Source organism: Homo sapiens, chromosome 12 (genome assembly GCF_000001405.40).
Source record: "Homo sapiens chromosome 12, GRCh38.p14 Primary Assembly".
Taxonomy (NCBI): Eukaryota; Metazoa; Chordata; class Mammalia; order Primates; family Hominidae; genus Homo; species Homo sapiens.
The window spans coordinates 124816725-124834635 of NC_000012.12; the positions used below are offsets into that span (position 1 = coordinate 124816725).

The 17911-nt window shown below is 50.4% G+C and overlaps 1 protein-coding gene across 20 annotated transcripts in view, besides 4 other annotated features; it reads right to left on the reverse strand.

The window, feature by feature from the left end:
- Positions 1 to 17911, reverse strand: part of SCARB1 (scavenger receptor class B member 1) — an 87009-nt gene that overhangs the window by 39869 nt on the left and 29229 nt on the right. For all 20 annotated transcript variants that reach the window (NR_160418.1, NR_160420.1, NR_160422.1 and 17 more), the window contains exon 2: positions 826 to 983. Coding sequence is in view for 11 of the 20 variants with exons in the window: in NM_001367988.1 (NP_001354917.1) it covers positions 826 to 983 (158 nt within the window). In the remaining 9 variants the exon portion in view is untranslated. The remainder of the gene's footprint in view (positions 1 to 825; positions 984 to 17911) is intronic.
- Positions 5 to 504: an enhancer, noted in NCBI's record as "H3K4me1 hESC enhancer chr12:125301275-125301774 (GRCh37/hg19 assembly coordinates)". NCBI's record gives its function as "activates a minimal SCP1, AML or CMV promoter by ChIP-STARR-seq in naive H9 embryonic stem cells {active_cell/tissue: H9 hESC(naive)}" and the evidence as "EXISTENCE:reporter gene assay evidence [ECO:0000049][PMID:30033119]".
- Positions 7881 to 8602: an enhancer, noted in NCBI's record as "H3K27ac-H3K4me1 hESC enhancer chr12:125309151-125309872 (GRCh37/hg19 assembly coordinates)". NCBI's record gives its function as "activates a minimal SCP1, AML or CMV promoter by ChIP-STARR-seq in primed H9 embryonic stem cells {active_cell/tissue: H9 hESC(primed)}" and the evidence as "EXISTENCE:reporter gene assay evidence [ECO:0000049][PMID:30033119]".
- Positions 8603 to 9324: an enhancer, noted in NCBI's record as "H3K4me1 hESC enhancer chr12:125309873-125310594 (GRCh37/hg19 assembly coordinates)". NCBI's record gives its function as "activates a minimal SCP1, AML or CMV promoter by ChIP-STARR-seq in primed H9 embryonic stem cells {active_cell/tissue: H9 hESC(primed)}" and the evidence as "EXISTENCE:reporter gene assay evidence [ECO:0000049][PMID:30033119]".
- Positions 11393 to 11572: an enhancer, noted in NCBI's record as "active region_7304". NCBI's record gives its function as "activates an Ori minimal core promoter by ATAC-STARR-seq in GM12878 lymphoblastoid cells {active_cell/tissue: GM12878}" and the evidence as "EXISTENCE:reporter gene assay evidence [ECO:0000049][PMID:35858748]".

Sequence of the window (17911 nt, forward strand, 5' to 3'; positions counted from 1 at the left end):
AACAGGCACATCCGCCAGCCGTCTCAGAGCTCCGAGTGCATCCTGAGTGTCCCGGTGACCCCATGAAGGGGCTCTTGTGTCTCTCCAGTCTGCAGACGGGCAAACTGAGGCTCAGAGGAATGAAGTCACTTCCCCTAGGCCACAGCCAGGTACAGGACAAGCAGAAAGCAAAGGCACAACTCTGTGGTCCTTGGGCCAGCATGTTCCACAAACAGCTGACCCCTTCCCGTGCTGACCCACCCGGTCCTCTGGCCCAGATAGGGTCTGGGGGGTCGGTCCCTGCTCCTGGTCATGCATGTGTGTGTGTGTGTGTGTGTGTGTGTGTATGTGTGTATGCATGTGTAGGTACATGTGTGTGTATGTATGTGTGTGTGTATGTGTATGTACGTGTGTATGTATGTATGTGTGTATGTGTATGTGTATGTGTGTGTATGTATGTGTGTAACTCACACATGCACCCTCCACCCAGACGCACACCATTGGTCCCTCCCTGCTCCATAAAGAACCTCTCTAGGCAACGTCTGGTGATTCGCACCTGTAATCCCAGCACTTTGAGAGGCTGAGGCGGAGGATCGCTTGAGCCCAGGACTTCAAAACCAGCCTGGGCAACATAGCAAGATCCCATCTCTAAAAAAAAAAAAAAAAAAAAAAAAAACCCTAAAACAAAAACTTCTCTGGGACTAGCACTTACCCCGACTATGACTTGCCTGCTTCCGGAACAATCTCTGGGGCTCAGTCAGCAGCCTCCCCATCCCGTCCACTCTGAGACCCCTCCCCTGCCCAGCCTCAGCCGGCCCCTCCACCCTCACCTGGACACAGCCTCACCTGTACACGTAGGGCCCGCGCTCCCGCACCTGCGGCTTCTCGCCCTTCAGGATCTCGCTGGGGTTCATGACGTCAAAGAAGTAGACGGAGAGATAGAAGGGGATAGGGATCTCCTTCCACATGTTGAAGGACAGGCTACTGGGGTCGATGCGCACGTTCTGCAGGGGAAGGGACAAGTACGCTTGTGAGGAGAGTGATGAGGGCCCCACGCCCCACCACAAGGCTCCGGAACAGCTGCCCGAGCCCGGCCAGGGAAGGGGCTCCTCGGCGGGAGCTTGGGATAGGAGGTGGTGGGAAAGCCCTTCGCACATGAGGCTGTCGCACCTGGAGCTTATGGAATTAAACAGGCAACCTATCCATGCTGTCATAATGCATCTTAAAATATGTCCTAACAGCAACAGGTGACACCAGTCAAGGGACTGTGGTAAACAGGGGCCCATGCACCACCTAAAGGGAGCGCCGGAGCTCAGGGTAGCGGATGGGCTCAGGGCAGGGATAGCCTCATGCAGGAACATGGGCTCCGTGTGGCCAGGGGGATCATTCATTCATTCCACAAGCAAGCACTGAGCACTACCACCTGCCAGGCGGGTTCTAAGAGCTGGGGATGGGAGAATGACCAGGACAGACCAAAAGCCCAGCTATGTGGGGCTTTACCATAGCGGAGGAAAGGCAGGCACCAAACAACTCAGGTAAAACGCATGCCACGTGACAGAGCACAGAGAAAACACAGCAGGGATTGGGGAGAGACTGGGATTTGAGACAGTCATCACGTAAGTGAAATATAGGCCAGGCACCATGGCTCATGCCTGTAATCCCAGAACTTTGGGAGGCCGAGGTAGGAGGATCACCAGAGCCCAAGAGTTTGAGACCAGCCTGGGCAACATAGCAAGACCCTGTCTCTATAAAGAATAATTTTATTTATTTATTTATTTTTTGAGATGGAGTCTCACTCTGTTGCCCAGGCTGGAGTGCAGTGGCATGATCTTGGCTAACTGCAACCTCTGCTTCTGTGTTCAAGCGATTCTCCTGCCTTAGCCTCCTGAGTAGCTGGGACTACAGGCCCCCACCATCACGCCTGGCTAATTTTTGTATTTTTATTTTATTTTATTTTTTTGAGAGGGAGTCTTGCTCTGTGGCCCAGGTTGGACTGCAGTGGCGCGATCTCGGCTCACCGAAACCTCCATATTCCGGGTTCAAGCAGTTCTCCTCCCTCAGCCTCCCGAGTAGCTGGGACTACAGGCACCCACCACCATACCTGGTTAATTTTTGTTTTAGTTTTTGTTTTTGTTTTAGTAGAAGTGGGGTTTCACCACGTTGGCCAGGCTGGTCTCCTGACCTCAAGTGATCCGTCTGCCTTGGCCTCCCAAAGTGCCAGGATTACAGGCATGAGCCACTGTGCCTGGCCTATAAAAAATAATTTTTTAAAAAGTAGCTGGGCATGGTGCTGCACACCTGTAGTCCCAGCTACTTGGGAGGCTGAGATGGGAGGGTCACTTGAGCCAAGGAGGTCGAGGCTGCAGTGAGCTGTAATGGCGCCATTTGTACTCCAGCCTGGGTGTCCAAGCAACACCCTGTCTCATAAAAAAAAAAAAAAGAAAAGAAAGAAAGAAAAAGAACACACACAAACACAACCTAGACCCAAAATCAAAACAGAAGGCAGTGAGGAAGGGAGCTCACAAATCTAGAAGGTGAGGCGCAGGGGACATTCCACAGCAACCACAGCCTGTGCAAAGGCCCTGTGGTAGGGAGACGCTGGGAGAGAGCCTCCCTGTGTGGCTGAGTGAGCCAGTCGGAAGATGAGAACACAGAAGTTTTCCATGAAAACCAGAAATAAAGAAATGTATATGAAATCTCCTGATTTAAAAATGTTGCAAAAACATGGTTTTCTTAAAGGGACTATAGGAAACACGCCTGGGGTCCACTTGGACTCCTCTGCCAGCTTTCCTCCTCTAGATCTATAATTCGCTGCCCCAGTGTCACAGGGAGGTCCCCCCTAGTCCACCTGACCCCCACCCTCAACCCAGCCGGGACATATCTCGGGCCCCTCAGTGCCCACACCACGTCAGAGCCCGGCAGGAGTGACCCAGCCCATTAGACTAGAGCTGATGTCGCAAAGCCAGGCAGCTGCGTCACCTTCCACCCTCTTTTGAACATGGCCTTCTAAGACAAGGACAGCCAGAACCAACAGGCAGAGGCTCTACAGGAGGCAGACAGCTGAGCTGGCCAGTCAGGGCCAGCCCCATGTCCCCCGGAAGGAGCAGATTTGGAGGCAGCCAGACCCTGGGTCGCACTCCACGGGGCCACTTGGGCAAGTCAGCCCCTGTGAACCTCAAGTTTCTCATCTGTACGAAGGAGCTAGTGACACTGTAGCTACAACTGTGTCTAGTTTGACCTACGTGGCGTGTCAATGAAGAAGCTGAATTCTTTGTCAAGAAACTGGAAGATGTAATGTAAAATCTGGATTTCAGAGTTCTCTTGGAAAAATCAGGAGATCAGAGACTGGCCTTCAAGTGCCATAATTGTTTATTGATAAACGTGTCTTCCTACCCAGCTGCCAGCACCAGAAGGATCACCTTATGGTCTGAGCAGCCCATAGGTGCAAACGAAGGCGCATAAACTGAATATTAATGAGGTAACAGAAGCGAGCATTTCCGGGGTGCGCCATGAGCCTGGTGATGCTGTTCACTGTGTTCTCATCCTCTGAACAGCACCATTACTCTTTGAGGCAGCCACCTCCACTATTATTACCCCCATGTTACAGATTAGGAAACTGAGGCACAACTAAGGCTGGAGAGAGATTCAACCAATAGTTGGAGGGCACTGAGGAGTCCGGGAGGTCTTCCTGGGGGAGGTGGTATGTGAGCTGGATCAAAGAGCAGTCCTGCCCCCTCGGTAACGCCCTCCCCACCCCATGGCGGCTCCCACCACCCCATGCGACCACAGCCCACAGGCACCAGCTCCAGCCCCTCCCAGCTCTCAGGCCCCGATCGCCCAGCCCTTCCTTCAGTCCTGGCCTTCACCCAGCCTCAAAGCCCATGCACTGCAGGTCCCTCTGTCTGGGACAGACCCTGCAGCCCTGGGGACCCTGCTCACCACAGGCCAGACCCCTTCACCAGCCTGGGGGACACATCCAGCTGCTGGTGCTCCCCCCATAGAAAACACAGCATCAAAACCCAGAACCCTGGAAAATGTGTTCGGGGAGTAGAGCACGAACTATATGTTCTCACCACAGAAAACAGTGGGGGGCAGGAGGGAACCGTAGAGGTGACAGGTATGTTCAGCACCTGGATCTCAGGGGCGGGTTTCCCGGTGTGCACACACCAGCCCATCAAACTGCATATATTAAATATGTGCCATTGTTTTATATCAATCACACCTTAATAAAGCTGCTTTTTTAAAAAAGCAAAACAAGGCCCAGTGCGGTGGCTCACACCTGTAATCCCAGCACTTTGAGGGGCCGAGGCAGGCAGATCACTTGAGCACAGGAGTTCAAGACCAGCCTGAGCATGGAGACTCCATCTCTACAAAAAATAGAAAAATCAGCCATCCGTGGTGGCAGGTGCCTATAGTCCCAGCCGCTTGGGAGGCTGAGGTGGGAGGATGACTTGAGCCCAGGAAGCAGAGGTTGCAGCAATCTGTGATCACACCACTGCACTCCAGCCTGGGCAACAGAACGAGACTCCATCTCACACACACACACACACACACACGCACACACACGCGCACACACACACACGCAGCCTCAATTTCCCTTTGCAGCCTCCCTCTCCCACCTGGTTTCTCAGCAGAGGCTGCTGGGCTGGAGATACCTTTCTCCTTTGGAATCTCACCATGCTTTCCTCCTCCCCTGGCCGCTTGGCCTGGTTCTGAAGATGAATCAGGGCTAAACCAAGAAGTCATGGGATCCGGCCGCGTGTCCATGTCTCAATCTCTCTCTCTCTCTCTCTCTCCCCAAAGAAGAGGCTTTCAGGCCCTGGGTTTCAGCCCATTCATTCAGCACTGCCCAAAGGGAATCTTCAGAGACCCAGCGCAGCCCTGTCCAACTGGGTGATCAGGGATGGGTCACTGACCTTCTCCGAGTCTCAGTTTCCTCAACCATACAATGGGCGTAAGGAGAGTGTCGCCTCATGGGCTGCTGTGAGGTTTGAATGAGTCCATGGAGGTAAAGTGCTTAGAACAAGGTCTGAAGACCCCGGGCACCAGAGGGTCAGCCCTGCAGTCATTAAGTGACCCTTCCTCCTCTGCCCCACCTCCACCCGGGTTAAGGGATGGACTTTGCCCTGCTTTTGATCAGCAGGATGACTTTTTTCCACCACACTAGACCAGGCAGCTGATTAGATAACAGTGGTGGGGACACTGTGGCCTTTTGCCTAACATGGCTGATTCTATGATTCTGTCCCCACCACCCCCAAGGTCAAAGACCATGGCCCTGGAACACAGAGTTGGGATAGAATGCCAAGGTGAGCCCTTGTTGGACGCCACTCCCTCCCATCTGGCGAAATAGACCCTTTGAGCCCAGGAAGGCTGCCTGGAGGAGGGGACATCTGAGCTGGGAATTTTAAAATAAGCTGGGCTTTGCTAGGAAAAGAAGATGGTGGAGGAGTGCCTGGCAGAGGACACAGCCTGTGCAAAGGCTGGGAAGCCTTTAAGAGCGTGACTTGCCTGAATGTTCACCAAAAACAAATATGGAATGATATATCCATATTTGATAGTTGGAAACAACTCAAATATCCATCAACAGATAAATGAATTGCCACATATCCACACAATGGAATGCTACCTGGCAATCAAAAAGAACCAACCATGGATGAACACCACAACACAGGTGAGCCTCAGAAGCACTACCCCAAGCAAAAAAAAGAAAAGAAGAATCATACTACACAACACCATTTCCGCGACATCGGGGAAAGGGAATACTCTAGAGAGAGAAGCCAGACCAGTGGCTGCCGGGGACCGGGATGGAGGGAGGGGACTAACGTGAACTGGCCCAGCTATCTTGATTTTGGTTGCCATATAGGTGAAGTGTATACATCTGATGCAACTCATCAAATTAGGCCAGGCATGGTGGCTCACGCCTGTAATCCAAGGACTTTGGGAGGCCAAGCCAGGAGAATTTCTTGAAGCCAGGAGTTCAAGACCAGCCTGGGCAACATGGTGAAACCGTGTCTCTACTAAAAATACAAAAAATATTAGCCGGGCATGGTGGCGCACACCTGTGGTCCCAGCTACTCAGGAGACTGAGCTGGGAGGATCACTTGAGCCCAGGAGTTCAAGGCTGCAGTGAGCCGTGATCATGTGCCTGCACTCCAGTCTGGGCCACAAAGCAAGACCCTGTCTGAAAAAAACAACAGCAACACCACCACCCATGACATGCTATATTTACCGCTATGGAACAATCTCCAGAATATTTTAAGTAAAAAAAAATTTAAAAATGAATACTATTACTACCTTTAAAATATAATGCAATCATGTTGATCAAAAGGCAGATATGTGCATACACATATAATCCCATTTATGTGACGTTCTAAAACAGGCAAGACTAACATATCAATAGAAACCAGAACAGGGGTCACCTGGGAGGTTGGGGGATAAGCGGGTGAAAATTCTGTTTCCTGATCTGGTTGCTGGTTACCCGGGACTATGTTCACTGAAAAATGTATGGTGTTATTCCCTTTATATGTGGGCTTTTCTATACGTGTGCTACACTTCACTAAAACCCTTTTGAAACTATAATGTGAAATTTTAAAAATAAAAGATTAACTGCAAATGGGCAAACGACTTGAAAAGACCTTGCTCCAAAGAAAATACACAAATAGCCAACAAGCTCATGAAAAGGTGCTTGACATCATCAGGGAAATGCAAATCAAAGTCACAATGGGCCACCACTTCTCACCCACCAGGATGGCTAGAATTTTTTTTCATGGAAAATAGCAAGTGTTGGCAAGGGTGTGGGAACTGGAACCTTTATGCATTGCCGGCAGAAGTGTAACGTGGAACAGCCACTGTGGAAACCAGTCTGACCGTTCCTCAAACGATCAAACGCAAAGTTACCGTATGACCCTGCAACTCCACTCCCCAGAACAGACCCAAGAAGAACTGAAAATGGGTGTAAAAAACAACACGTACAAGAATGTGCACAGCAGCACTGTTCGCAATGGGCGAAAACGACCCAAGAGTCCGTCAACAGATGAATGGCTGAACGCAGTGTGGTCTGTCCAGACAGCGGCATCTGACTCACTTAGAAAAAGGAATGCATGGGTTGGCTCTTTACTACTGCGTAAAAAAGAAATGTATTTAAAGAGCCAAAAAAAATAATTTTAAAGAAAGGAATGCGGCCAGGTGTGGTGGCTCACATCTGTAATCCCAGCACTTTGGGAGGCTGAGGCAAGTGGATCACCTGAGGTCAGGAGTTCAAGACCAGCCTGGCCAACATGGTGAAACCCCGCCTCTATTAAAAAAAAAATATATACAAAAATTAGCTGGGCATGGTGGCAGCCAACTGTATTCCCAGCTACTCGGGAGGCTGAGGCAGGAGAATCGCTTGAACCCGGGAGGCGGAGGTTGCAGTGAGAGCCGAGATCGCGCCGCTGCACTCCAGCCTGGGTAACAGACCGAGATTTCATCTCAAAAAAAAAAAAAAAAGAGAAAGAAAGAAAGAAAAAGAAAGGAATGCAACACTGACACATGCCACCACATGGACAAACCTCAAAAACCTGACATGGAGTGAAAGAAGCCAGTCAAAAGGCCACACTTAGTGTCTGACCACACTTACGAAATGCCCAGAATAGGCAAATCCAGAGACAGCAGATTGGTGGTTGCCAGGGGCTGGGGCAGAAAGGAATGGTGGGTGACTGCTTAATGGGTACACGGTAATGAGAATGCTTTGGAACTAGATCGTGGTAACGATTGCGCAACCTTGCGAACGCACTAAATGCCACTAAACTGTACATTTGTAAATGGTTTTGGTGAATTTTACGTTAACTGGATCTTAATCACAATTTCAAAAAGAAAGATTAACTCCAAATTAAAATGAGATATCATTTCCCAGTAGATGAGCAAAAATTAGGACATCCAAGAAAACAACTACAGGCAAAGATGTTTGGAAACAGGACCGCTGTGCACAGCGGGGGTCAGGCCACTGGGGAGTCGGGACAGTTTCTAATCGGGTCAGGTGTGAGCAAAGCCCCATGGTCTGTGGGTTCCCTGTTCAGACATGGTGCAGAGCACCAGCTTCCCAGCTCCTGCCAGGCTAGGGCCACGACCTGCACACCCACCAGAAGCCTCATGAGGGAATACGCACCTTCCCAGCATGATGCAACTTACGTTATGACTCCATTATTCGCCCCTCTGGTATTCTATCCTATTCCATTCTGTTTTTAAAATGCTGATCCCAGGCCAGGTGCAGTGGCTCACGCCTGTAATCCCAGCACTTTGGGAGGCTGGGGCGGGCAAATCATGAGGTCAGGAGATCGAGATCATCCTGGCCAACACAGTGAAACCCTGTCTCTACTAACAATACAAAAAAATTAGCCAGGCGTGGTGGCAGATGCCTGTAGTCCCAGCTACTCGGGTGGCTGAGGCAGGAGAATCGCTTGAATCCAGGAGGCGGAGGTTGCAGCGAGCCAAAATTGCGCCACTGCACTCCAGCCTGGGCAACAGAGCGAGACTCCATCTCAAAAAAAAAAAAAAAAAAAAAAAGCTGATCCCCACCCACCCCACTTATTTCACAACCCACAATCTGATCACATCTGACAGTTTGAAAACTCTGCCCTAGAAAGATTCTCCTAAGTGTGCAAGAAAGCGCCAGAAGAATTGTCAGACCTCAAAAAAAGAACAGAGGGCCAGGCACGGGGGCTCACGCCTGTGATCCCAACACTTTGGGAGGCCGAGGCGGGTGGATCACTTGAGGTCAGGAGTTCCAGACCAGCCGGGCCAACATGGTGCAACCCCGTCTCTACTAAAACTACAAAAATTACCCAAGCACGGTGACATGCACCTGTAGTCCCAGCTACTCGGGAGGCTGAGGTGGGAGAATCGCTTGAGCCCAGGAGGCGGAGGTTGCAGTGAGCCGAGATCACACCATTGCACTCCAACCTGGGTGACAGAGCGAGACCCTGCCTTGAAAAACAACAGAGAGCCCAGCCAGGTTCTCAGTCAAAGATAAGCTGGGCTTCTGCACACGGTGGCTGCACAGTGAGTAAACGCCATCGACTTGCAGATATCTCAAAGGCAGAATCTTGACAGAAGGACAAATACTGCAGGACAAATACTTCCAGATTTGTCTTTTAGAGGTGAGGAATCTGAAGACATTGAATACACAGAGAGTTGAATGGTGCTTACGGGGCGGAGGCTGGGGAGGTGGGGAGATGCAGGTCACAGGGCGCAAAGCTGCAGTCATGTGGGATGGGTGGTCTGGAGGTTGCATGCACAACACGAGGACTGTGATTAATACTGTACTGTATACTGGAAGCAGATTTCAGGTGCTCTCACCACTAAAAACAAAGAGGTGGCCGGGACTCATGCCTGTAATCCCAGCACTTTGGGAGGCCGAGGTGGGAGGATCGCTTGAGGTCAGGAGTTTGAGAACAACCTGGGCAACATAGGGAGCCCATCTCTATAAAAAATACAAAAATTAGCCAGGCACAGTGGCGCGCACCTATGGTCCCAGCTACTCAGGAGGCTTAAGTGGGAGGATCACTTGAGCCTGAGAGTTCAAGGCTGCAGTGAACCGTGATCACCCCACTGCACTCTAGCCTGGGTGACAGAGCGAGACCCTGTCTCAAAAAAAAAAAAAAAAAAAGAGGTGACTATATGAGGAGATACATATGTTAATCTGCTTAACTGTAGTAATCATTTCACTATGTGTGTGTATATAGCAAAACAGCATTTGGATGCCTTAAATATACATAATTTTTATTATTTATTTATTTTGAAACAGAGTCTCGCTCAGTTGCCCAGGCTGGAAAGCCTTGACTTCCCGATCTCCCCAGATCAAGCAATCCTCTCACCTCAGCCTCCTGAGTAGCTGGGACTACAAGGCACATACCACCACGCCCGGCTATTTTTTTATTTTTTTATTTTTTTGCTTTTAGTAGAGACAAGGTCTCACTATGTTGCCCAGGCTGGTCTTGAACTCCTGAGCTCAAGAGATCCACTCGCTTCAGCCTCCCAAAGTGCTGGGATTATAGGTGTCAGCCACTGCACCTGGCCTCAATTTTTATTTTTAAAGAAAAAAAAATCTTGAGTGAAGAAAAGGCTAAAGAAAGAAACAATTGACATGGGCCTCTTGATGTGAATTTTCCAAACACATGAAATAATACTCTATATTCTTTCTGAAGACAAACCCATGTGGAAATGTAGAAAAACATTCAGGGAAATGATACCTGCAAACAATCTCAGGAGAGGGCTGGGGGCTGGGGATGTGGGGAAAGCTTTAACTGTCATTGTGAACATGTTATTTCTTGAAAATAACATACGAGCCACCGTCCGAACATTGGCCTACAAGCCCCTCTGCCTGGTCTGGCCCCTGTGTTCTCTCTGGCCCCACATCCAACTGTAGCAGGACAAGTCACAGACAAAACTCCTCAGACACCGGATTAAAGAAGGAAGAGGTTTTTATTCGGCCGGGAGCATCGGCAGACTCGCGTCTTAAGAGCCGAGCTCCCCGAAAAAGAAATTCCTAGCCCTTTTAAGGGCTTACAACTCTAAGGGGTCCATGTGAAAGGGTCATAATAGATCGAGTAAGTGTGAGGAACGTGACTGGGGGCTACATACATCAGCTAACAGAACAAAAAGTTTTACAGTGCTTTCTCATACAACGTCTGGAATTTACAGATAACACCAGTAGTTTTGGTCAGGGGTTAATATTATTATTATTATTATTATTTTAACCACCAGGGCCAGGTGGTGGCGCCAAGGTCGTCTAGCTATTTATCTTACTTCTGTTTCTTTCCATCTTTTTGCTTTCTCCCTTTTCTCCTGTCTTATAAACTAGGGAAAAGGGGAGGCTGGGGAGAAGCTGGGAAGGACAACAGCAGAAGCGGTGGTCTCATTCCACAACCACTGTCTGTTACTCAGCCCAGCCCCACAGCCTCCTTGCTATCCTGTCCAAGAGGCCACGCTCCTGCCCCAGGGCCTTTGCACCCACTGCTTCCTCCTAAACACGTGGTCAAATCCCTCACCCCTTCGAATCTCTGCTTACATGCCCCCTTCTCAGAAGGCTCATCCAACCTGCCCCTAAAACTCCTGACCTCCCGACCTGCCGTGTTGTTTCCATGCTGCTTGTGGCCTTCGAGCACACGGTATAATTAGCTTATCAGGTTTATTGCTGTCCATCTGTATCACCTGCCTGGCCATAAACCCACAAGGGCAAGATCCTCAGCTGCTTTGTTTGGCGATGTGTCTGTCCTCAGGGCCTGGGACAGCTCTTGGCACCTTGCAGGAGCTCTGTAAATATTTTCTGGGTGAATGAGCAAAAGTGAGACCTGAAACCATATAATCAACGTGGAAATGTCTAGCGGGTGGTAACGCTAGTCCTCCTTTGTGTGTTTTAAACAGCTCATACTTAAGAAGGGATTTTTTTTTTTTTAAATACACAGAGAGTACCGCCTGTTTAGGCCGGGGCAACAACTCGGTAAATGTGTGATGGATGAGATGAAGATTTCATAGACATTAATTTTTAGCATTCTCTTCCTACCACCCACAGCACTCTCCCCTGCACCTGGAGAGGCCCCTGACCTCCAAACCTAACACCCCGCTCGCCCAGGTGCCACCTCCTCCATGAAGCCCACTGGAACGACCTCGGCCTACAGTGAGGCTGCTCTGACCTCATTGGGATTGCAGTTCATGCCCTGTACAATCATCCGCCCCATGCTAGATGCTATGCTAGGAATTTAAAGACACAGGGATGAACACGATGGGGCCCCTGCCCTGAGACGCCCCTGCCCTCAGACACCAGGGGAGCAGAATCGTCTGGACGATCTGCCCGGCCCTGTTCAGGTAGCGAAACACTTCCACCTACTTCACCTCTTAAATTCTCAATGGCTCATCTCATCGAAGCAGACACTGAGGCTCCAAAGCCAAATGCCTGACCAAGGTCACAGGAGCAGGGAGAGACAGAGCCCCAGGCTCCGTATCCACGTCTAGGCCTGTGCCCTCACGCTTCTCTCCTAGGCCATCCCCGCTGGGCTCCTTGCACGGGAGCTTCACAAATGAATCATTAACTTGACCTGGCCACTGAATTGCAAGGTCTAATTCCTCCTCCTATGAGAAGAGAAAACAGGCTTCCAAGAAACACACCTCTGACCAAATGAGCCAAGAAGCCAATTTGCCCAGACGAAGCCTAGTTCTGGGACAAGGCCAGGCCCTGCCCACTCTGGACCAGCAGTCAGTGGCTGACTACACTCTCAATCCCAGGGCTCCAGGCATCCCCAGCTCCATGGGGCCTTAAGATGCAGGAACAACTACGACACAGGCTAATCCAATCTGGGACTTGGGAACACCACACCCTTGGCTCATGTTCCAACTTCTTTTGATTTTTAAAGGACTAAGGTAAGAAGACTAAAATAAAAGGTTTTTACAAGAAACCCACGCTTGTAAGTTGCTTAAGCGAAGAGGTTGAGTCATTCCTGAGTCCTCCATTTTCCTCCCACCTAGCACCCTCCATCAGCAAGGCTGGGCTGCTCTCGCTTTAAAGCATGCCTCAAATCCATCCACTTCTCTCCAACACCATCCTGGCCCCCATCCTGGCTTGTATGGATGGGTGCCGTAGTTTCCCCGCTGTTTTCCTGCCTCTGCTCTTGCCCCCCGCCCCGTTCTCCCCACAGAATCCAAGTTATCCTTTTAAGATTAAAGTCAGAGCATGTCATTCTGCTCAAACCTCCCCCATGCCTCCCTATTTATCTCAGAATAGAATCTAAATTCCTGACAGTGACCTATGAGGTCTTGCACAACCCAGCTCCCTATAGTCACTCCAGTCTCCTCCCCCATTCCTATCTGCCTCGCTCACTCTGCTCCAGCCACACTGGCCTTGCTGTGCTCCTGAGCCACCAGGCAAGTTTCTGCCACAGGGCCTTTGCACTGACTCTTTGCTCCTCCAGGGGCAATCTTTCCCCTGATGCCCACAAAAGTGAGCCCCTCACTTCTCAAGTCTAAAGTCACTTTCTCCGTGAGACCTTCCCTGAGCAATTTTCAATCCCTTAACCATCTCTATTGAGCCCCACTGTATGGCAGGCTCTGCTCTAGGCCTGGGCACTTCAATAGTGAACAAAATGGATGAAAATACCATTCTTCCTAAAGCAGCCCTTCCCCCATCACATTATATTCATCACCCTGTTTTATCTCCCTGACATTATCAATATCTGAAATTTCTATGTAGTTGTTGATAAGTCCCCCTTCCTGCTGCCCGGAATTCAGTCACAATGGATGGAGCTAGAGCAGCCATCTTGGATCATGAGGCACCCTTAAGAATGAAAGCCACACATGAAGAAGGGCGGAGCAGAATAGGAGATAGGAGAAAGGATTCCTGTGACTTCCTGGAGCCACCCACCAGCCCTGGGTGGCTTAGTCATCAGAGAAATGTCCACTGGACTCACAGTGAGATCCCATGCCATACACCAGAATGGCTACAATGAAAAAGACTGACAATAACAAGTGCTGGTGAGGATGTGGAGCAGCCAGAGTGCTCACACATTGCTGGTGGAAGTGCATTAGTGCAGTCACTGTGGAATATACTTTTTCTACCAAAGCTGGACGTTCACCCTACAATATAGCAATCCCACCCCCAGTATTTGTCCCAGAAAAATGAAAGCATGCACCCACACAAAGATTATCCACAAATGCTCATAGCAGCCGTACCCATAACAGCCCAAAACTGGAAACAACACAAATGTCTACAAGCAAGTGAATGCATGACAAATGGGGACACACTCATACCATGGAATGCTACCCAGAGACAAAAGGGAATGACCAATTGAGACACACAATGACAGGGTAAATCACACACAGGGACCACGTGCATGAGTCCATATAAGTGACGTCCCGGGGAATGGCAAAACCAATCCATGGGGATAGAGGTGGGGGCAGCAGGACCTCAGGGGTGGATACTGACAGGGAGGGGTGCGGGGGAGGCGTTTACACTTGGTATAGGGGGTCATTACAAGCGTGCATACCTAGGTGAAAATCCATCAACCTCTAACCGAAATTGTGCACTTTTCTTAATGCATTTGATACTTCAATTTTTAAAAAGAAAAAAATTAAAGCAAAAAAAATTTTTTCTTTTTTCAGACAGAGTCTCACTCTGTCGCCCAGGCTGGAGTGCAGTGGTGTGATCTCAGCTCACTGCAACCTCCACCTCCCAGGTTCAAGCAATTCTCCTGCCTCAGCCTCCAGAATAGCTGGGACTACAGGCATACGCCACCATGCCCAGCTGATTTTTTTTTTTTTTTAGACGGAGTTTTGCTCTGTCACCCAGGCTGGAGTGCAGTGGCGCGATCTCGGCTCACTGCAACCTCTGCCTCCCGGGTTCAAGCAATTCTCCTGCCTCAGCCCCCCAAGTAGCTGGGATTACAGATGCCCGCCACCACACCTGGCTAATTTTTGTATTTTTTTAAGTAGAGACGGGGTTTTGCCAAATTGGCCAGGCTGGTCTCAAACTCCTGACCTCAGGTGATCTGCCTGCCTCGGCCTCCCAAAGTGCTAGGATTACAGGCATGAGCCACCGCGCCTGGACTGATTTTTGTATTTTTGACAGAAATGGGGTTTTACCATGTCGGCCAGGCTGAGGTCTCCAACTCCTGACCTCAGGTGATCGGCCCACCTTGGCCTCCCAAAGTGCTGGGATTACAGACGTGAGCCACTGCGCCTGGCCTAAAGCAAAAAATTATTGATCCAGGGTTGGGTACTCTTCAGATGTTCAATACACCCTCAAGTGGTGTCGCTAATAAGAGAGCACCTACAGCCACCAAGGCCCAATCAGGGTCCCAGTGCCCCGTCAAATCTGATTTCTGAAGCAGAGCAGCGAGGCCAGCCAGGAGACCACCAGGGGCCCTGGAGAGACGTGAGAGGTCTGGGGTCCCCTCTTTACCAGCAAAGGGGCTCTGTCCACTCCCTGTCCCCTCAACCCCCTGCCCATCCTCCACCTACCAGCAGGCGCCTGATACAACTTCCTGTGCCTGTTTCTTTACCTGTAACAAGGAATAAAGAATAGGACCCATGCAGCAGGGACAGGTCATGTTGACATAATGTGCTGGGAACAGCCCTTCGTCACTGCGATCTTCCTTCCAAAACCCGGAACTAGGGCCTAATCAATAGAAGAACAACAGACAAATCCCAGCAGAGGGGCGTCCTGCAAAATTCCTAGCCGGTGCTCAGGAACGCAATCCAGGTCATCCAAAGCCAGGAAAGTCTGAGAACCCACAGAGACCAGAGGATCCTAAGGCAACGTGAGGGACAAACGCAATGTGGGGCCCTGGATTGGGTCCTGGGACAGAAAATGATACGAAGGAGAAACGAAGGAAACGTGAATCCTGTCTGGATGTTAGTTATTACTGATGTATCAACACTGGTTCATTCATAGCAACAAATGTATCCCATTCCTTTAAGATGTTAATAGCAGGGGACACTGGCTGTGGGATATGTGGGAACTCAGCACTATCTTCCCAATTTTTCTGAAAGTTGAACTGTTCTAGGCCGGGCGCGGTGGCTCACACCTGTGGAATCCTAGCACTTTGGGAGGCCAAGGCAGGTGGATCACTTGAGGTCAGGAGTTGGAGACTAGCCTGGCCAACATAGTGAAATCCCGACTCTACTAAAAGTACAAAAATTAGCCAGGTGTGGTGTCAGGCACCTGTGGTCCCAGCTACTTGGGAGGCTGAGGAAGGAGAATCACTTGAACCTGGAAGGCAGAGGTTCTAGTGAGCCGAGATTGTGCCACTGCACTCCAGCCTGGGCGACAGAGTGAGACTTGGTCTCAAAAAAAAAAAAACTGTTCTAAAACAGAAAGTTATTTTAAAACAAGCAGGCTCTGTCGCGGCAATACAGGGAGGGCCAAATCAGTGCCTCACCGAATCATATTACAGCTTCAAGCAAAAGGAAAAAATGTGCACCCCATATTTATACTTTTTCCAGAACATTAAGGTCTTTTTGTAAAAACACTGACAATTTCAAAAGTTCACATATTAACACAACATTATTTTAAGTTTAAATATTTTATTTAAGCCCACCCAAACCAGATTATACTATCATGTTAATGACCTGGCTTTAATGGAAGCATTTTCATTGTATTAGCTTCCCACTGCTGCTGTAAGAATTAACAATTAACACTGGCTCAGATCAATACAAAGTTATTATCTTACAGTTCTCGGGGGGAGAAGTCCAAACTGGGACTGCCCCTGAGATGGGATGAAAGTCACGGTGCAGGCAGGGTGCTTCCTTCTGGAGCTCAGGGGGAATCCATTGCCTTCCGTTTCCCAGCTTCTAAGAGGCCTCCGCATTCCTTGGCTCCTGTCCCCTTATCACTCCAACCCCTGCTTCTGAGGTCACATCTCCTACTCTGACCCTCCTGCCTCCCTCTGTCAAAGATCCTTGTGAAAGCATTGTGGCCCCTGGGACAATCCAAGTTCATCTCCCATCTCAAGATCCTTAACTTTTTTTTTTTTTTTGAGACAGGGTCTCACTCTGTTGCCAGGCTGGAATGCAGTGGTGTGATCACGGCTTACTGCAGCCTCGAACTCCCGGGCTGAAGCAATCCTCCTTCCTCAGCCTCCCACATAACTGGGACCACAAGCATACACCACCACGCCTGGCTAATTTTTAAATTTTTTATAGAGATGGGGTCTCACTATGTTGCCCAAGCTGGTCTTCAACTCCTGGGCTCAAAAATCTCCCACCTTGGCCTCCCAAAGTGCTGGGATTACAGGTGTGAGCCATCATGCCTGGTGTAAGATCCTTAACTTAATCACGCCTACAAAGCCACTTTTGCTGAGGAAGGTCACATATTCACAGGTCCTGGGGATCAGGACGCCAGCACCTTTTGGGGACATTGTTCAGCCTGCCACACCCACCCAGAGACCCCAGAGCATCCTCCCACACAGCCCCCTCCACCCCAGGGAACACCCCTGCACCAGGGAGTGTGACATTTGCCCCGTGCACCCCTTCCTCTCCCCACAGCCCTATCTTGGCCAGAAGGCAGGCTTCGCTAGAAACAAGGTGGACCCGGCAGGAAGCCCAGTGTCCTCTTTAATGGGAAGCTCCACGCCCAGGATGCTCACACGTCCCCCGCTTTTGAACCCTGCTGTGTTTTGGCCTGAGCTGTCCTAAGAGAAACCCGGGCCGGGGAATGATCTGCGGAGCAGGACACTCTCCCGCAGCTGCTTTCAAGCAGCTCAGCGGGGGCACTTTGTTCTTGCAGCTGGGATCTGAAAAGCAAGCCCTCTGGGCTGCGGACGTGCCCGTGCTGCCTGCACTGCCTCCTCGTGACTCCCGAGACCTCCTGCCAGTGACACGAGGGTGTCCAGAAACACAAACCGAGGCCCGCCCTGAAAAGGGCTAAGCCAGCTTCATCCTCAGCCACATGGGAGGAAGAATGCAGGCAACAGCCAGCAGGGGCCTGAGGGGCCCTGCAAGGCCAGAGCCAGGGGTCTTGTCAAAAGCAGGCCTCCCAAGCCAGTGAGCTCCCACGGGACACACGGGGGGACAGGGAGGCAGCCAGAGGTCAGAACCACTCCAGGGTCCTCAGGTTCCCAGAAACTTCCAGGCTGGGCCGGGACCAGAAACAGACGTCACCGGTGCCAGTCCCTTGTGCTGGTCCCTGAGCCACAGCCCCTGAGGCCCCCAAAAGGGGCCCAACCAACAAGGGGCTGAGGGTCCGGGCAGAGCCTCCCACTCCAGGCATGAGGTCTCGGGCAATTTCTGAACACTGGAGCAGGTCCACCTTTCAAACCTCATTACTGCCCTACAGAACGACTTTTGGTGTGAGCATAGTACTGTGGTCATGCTTGGGGATTTTCTTTTGCTTTATCATTGTGGTGGTGTTTACTAGGTACCTGTTCGGGCAGTGGTTCTTGAAGTGTGGTCCCTGGCTGAGCGT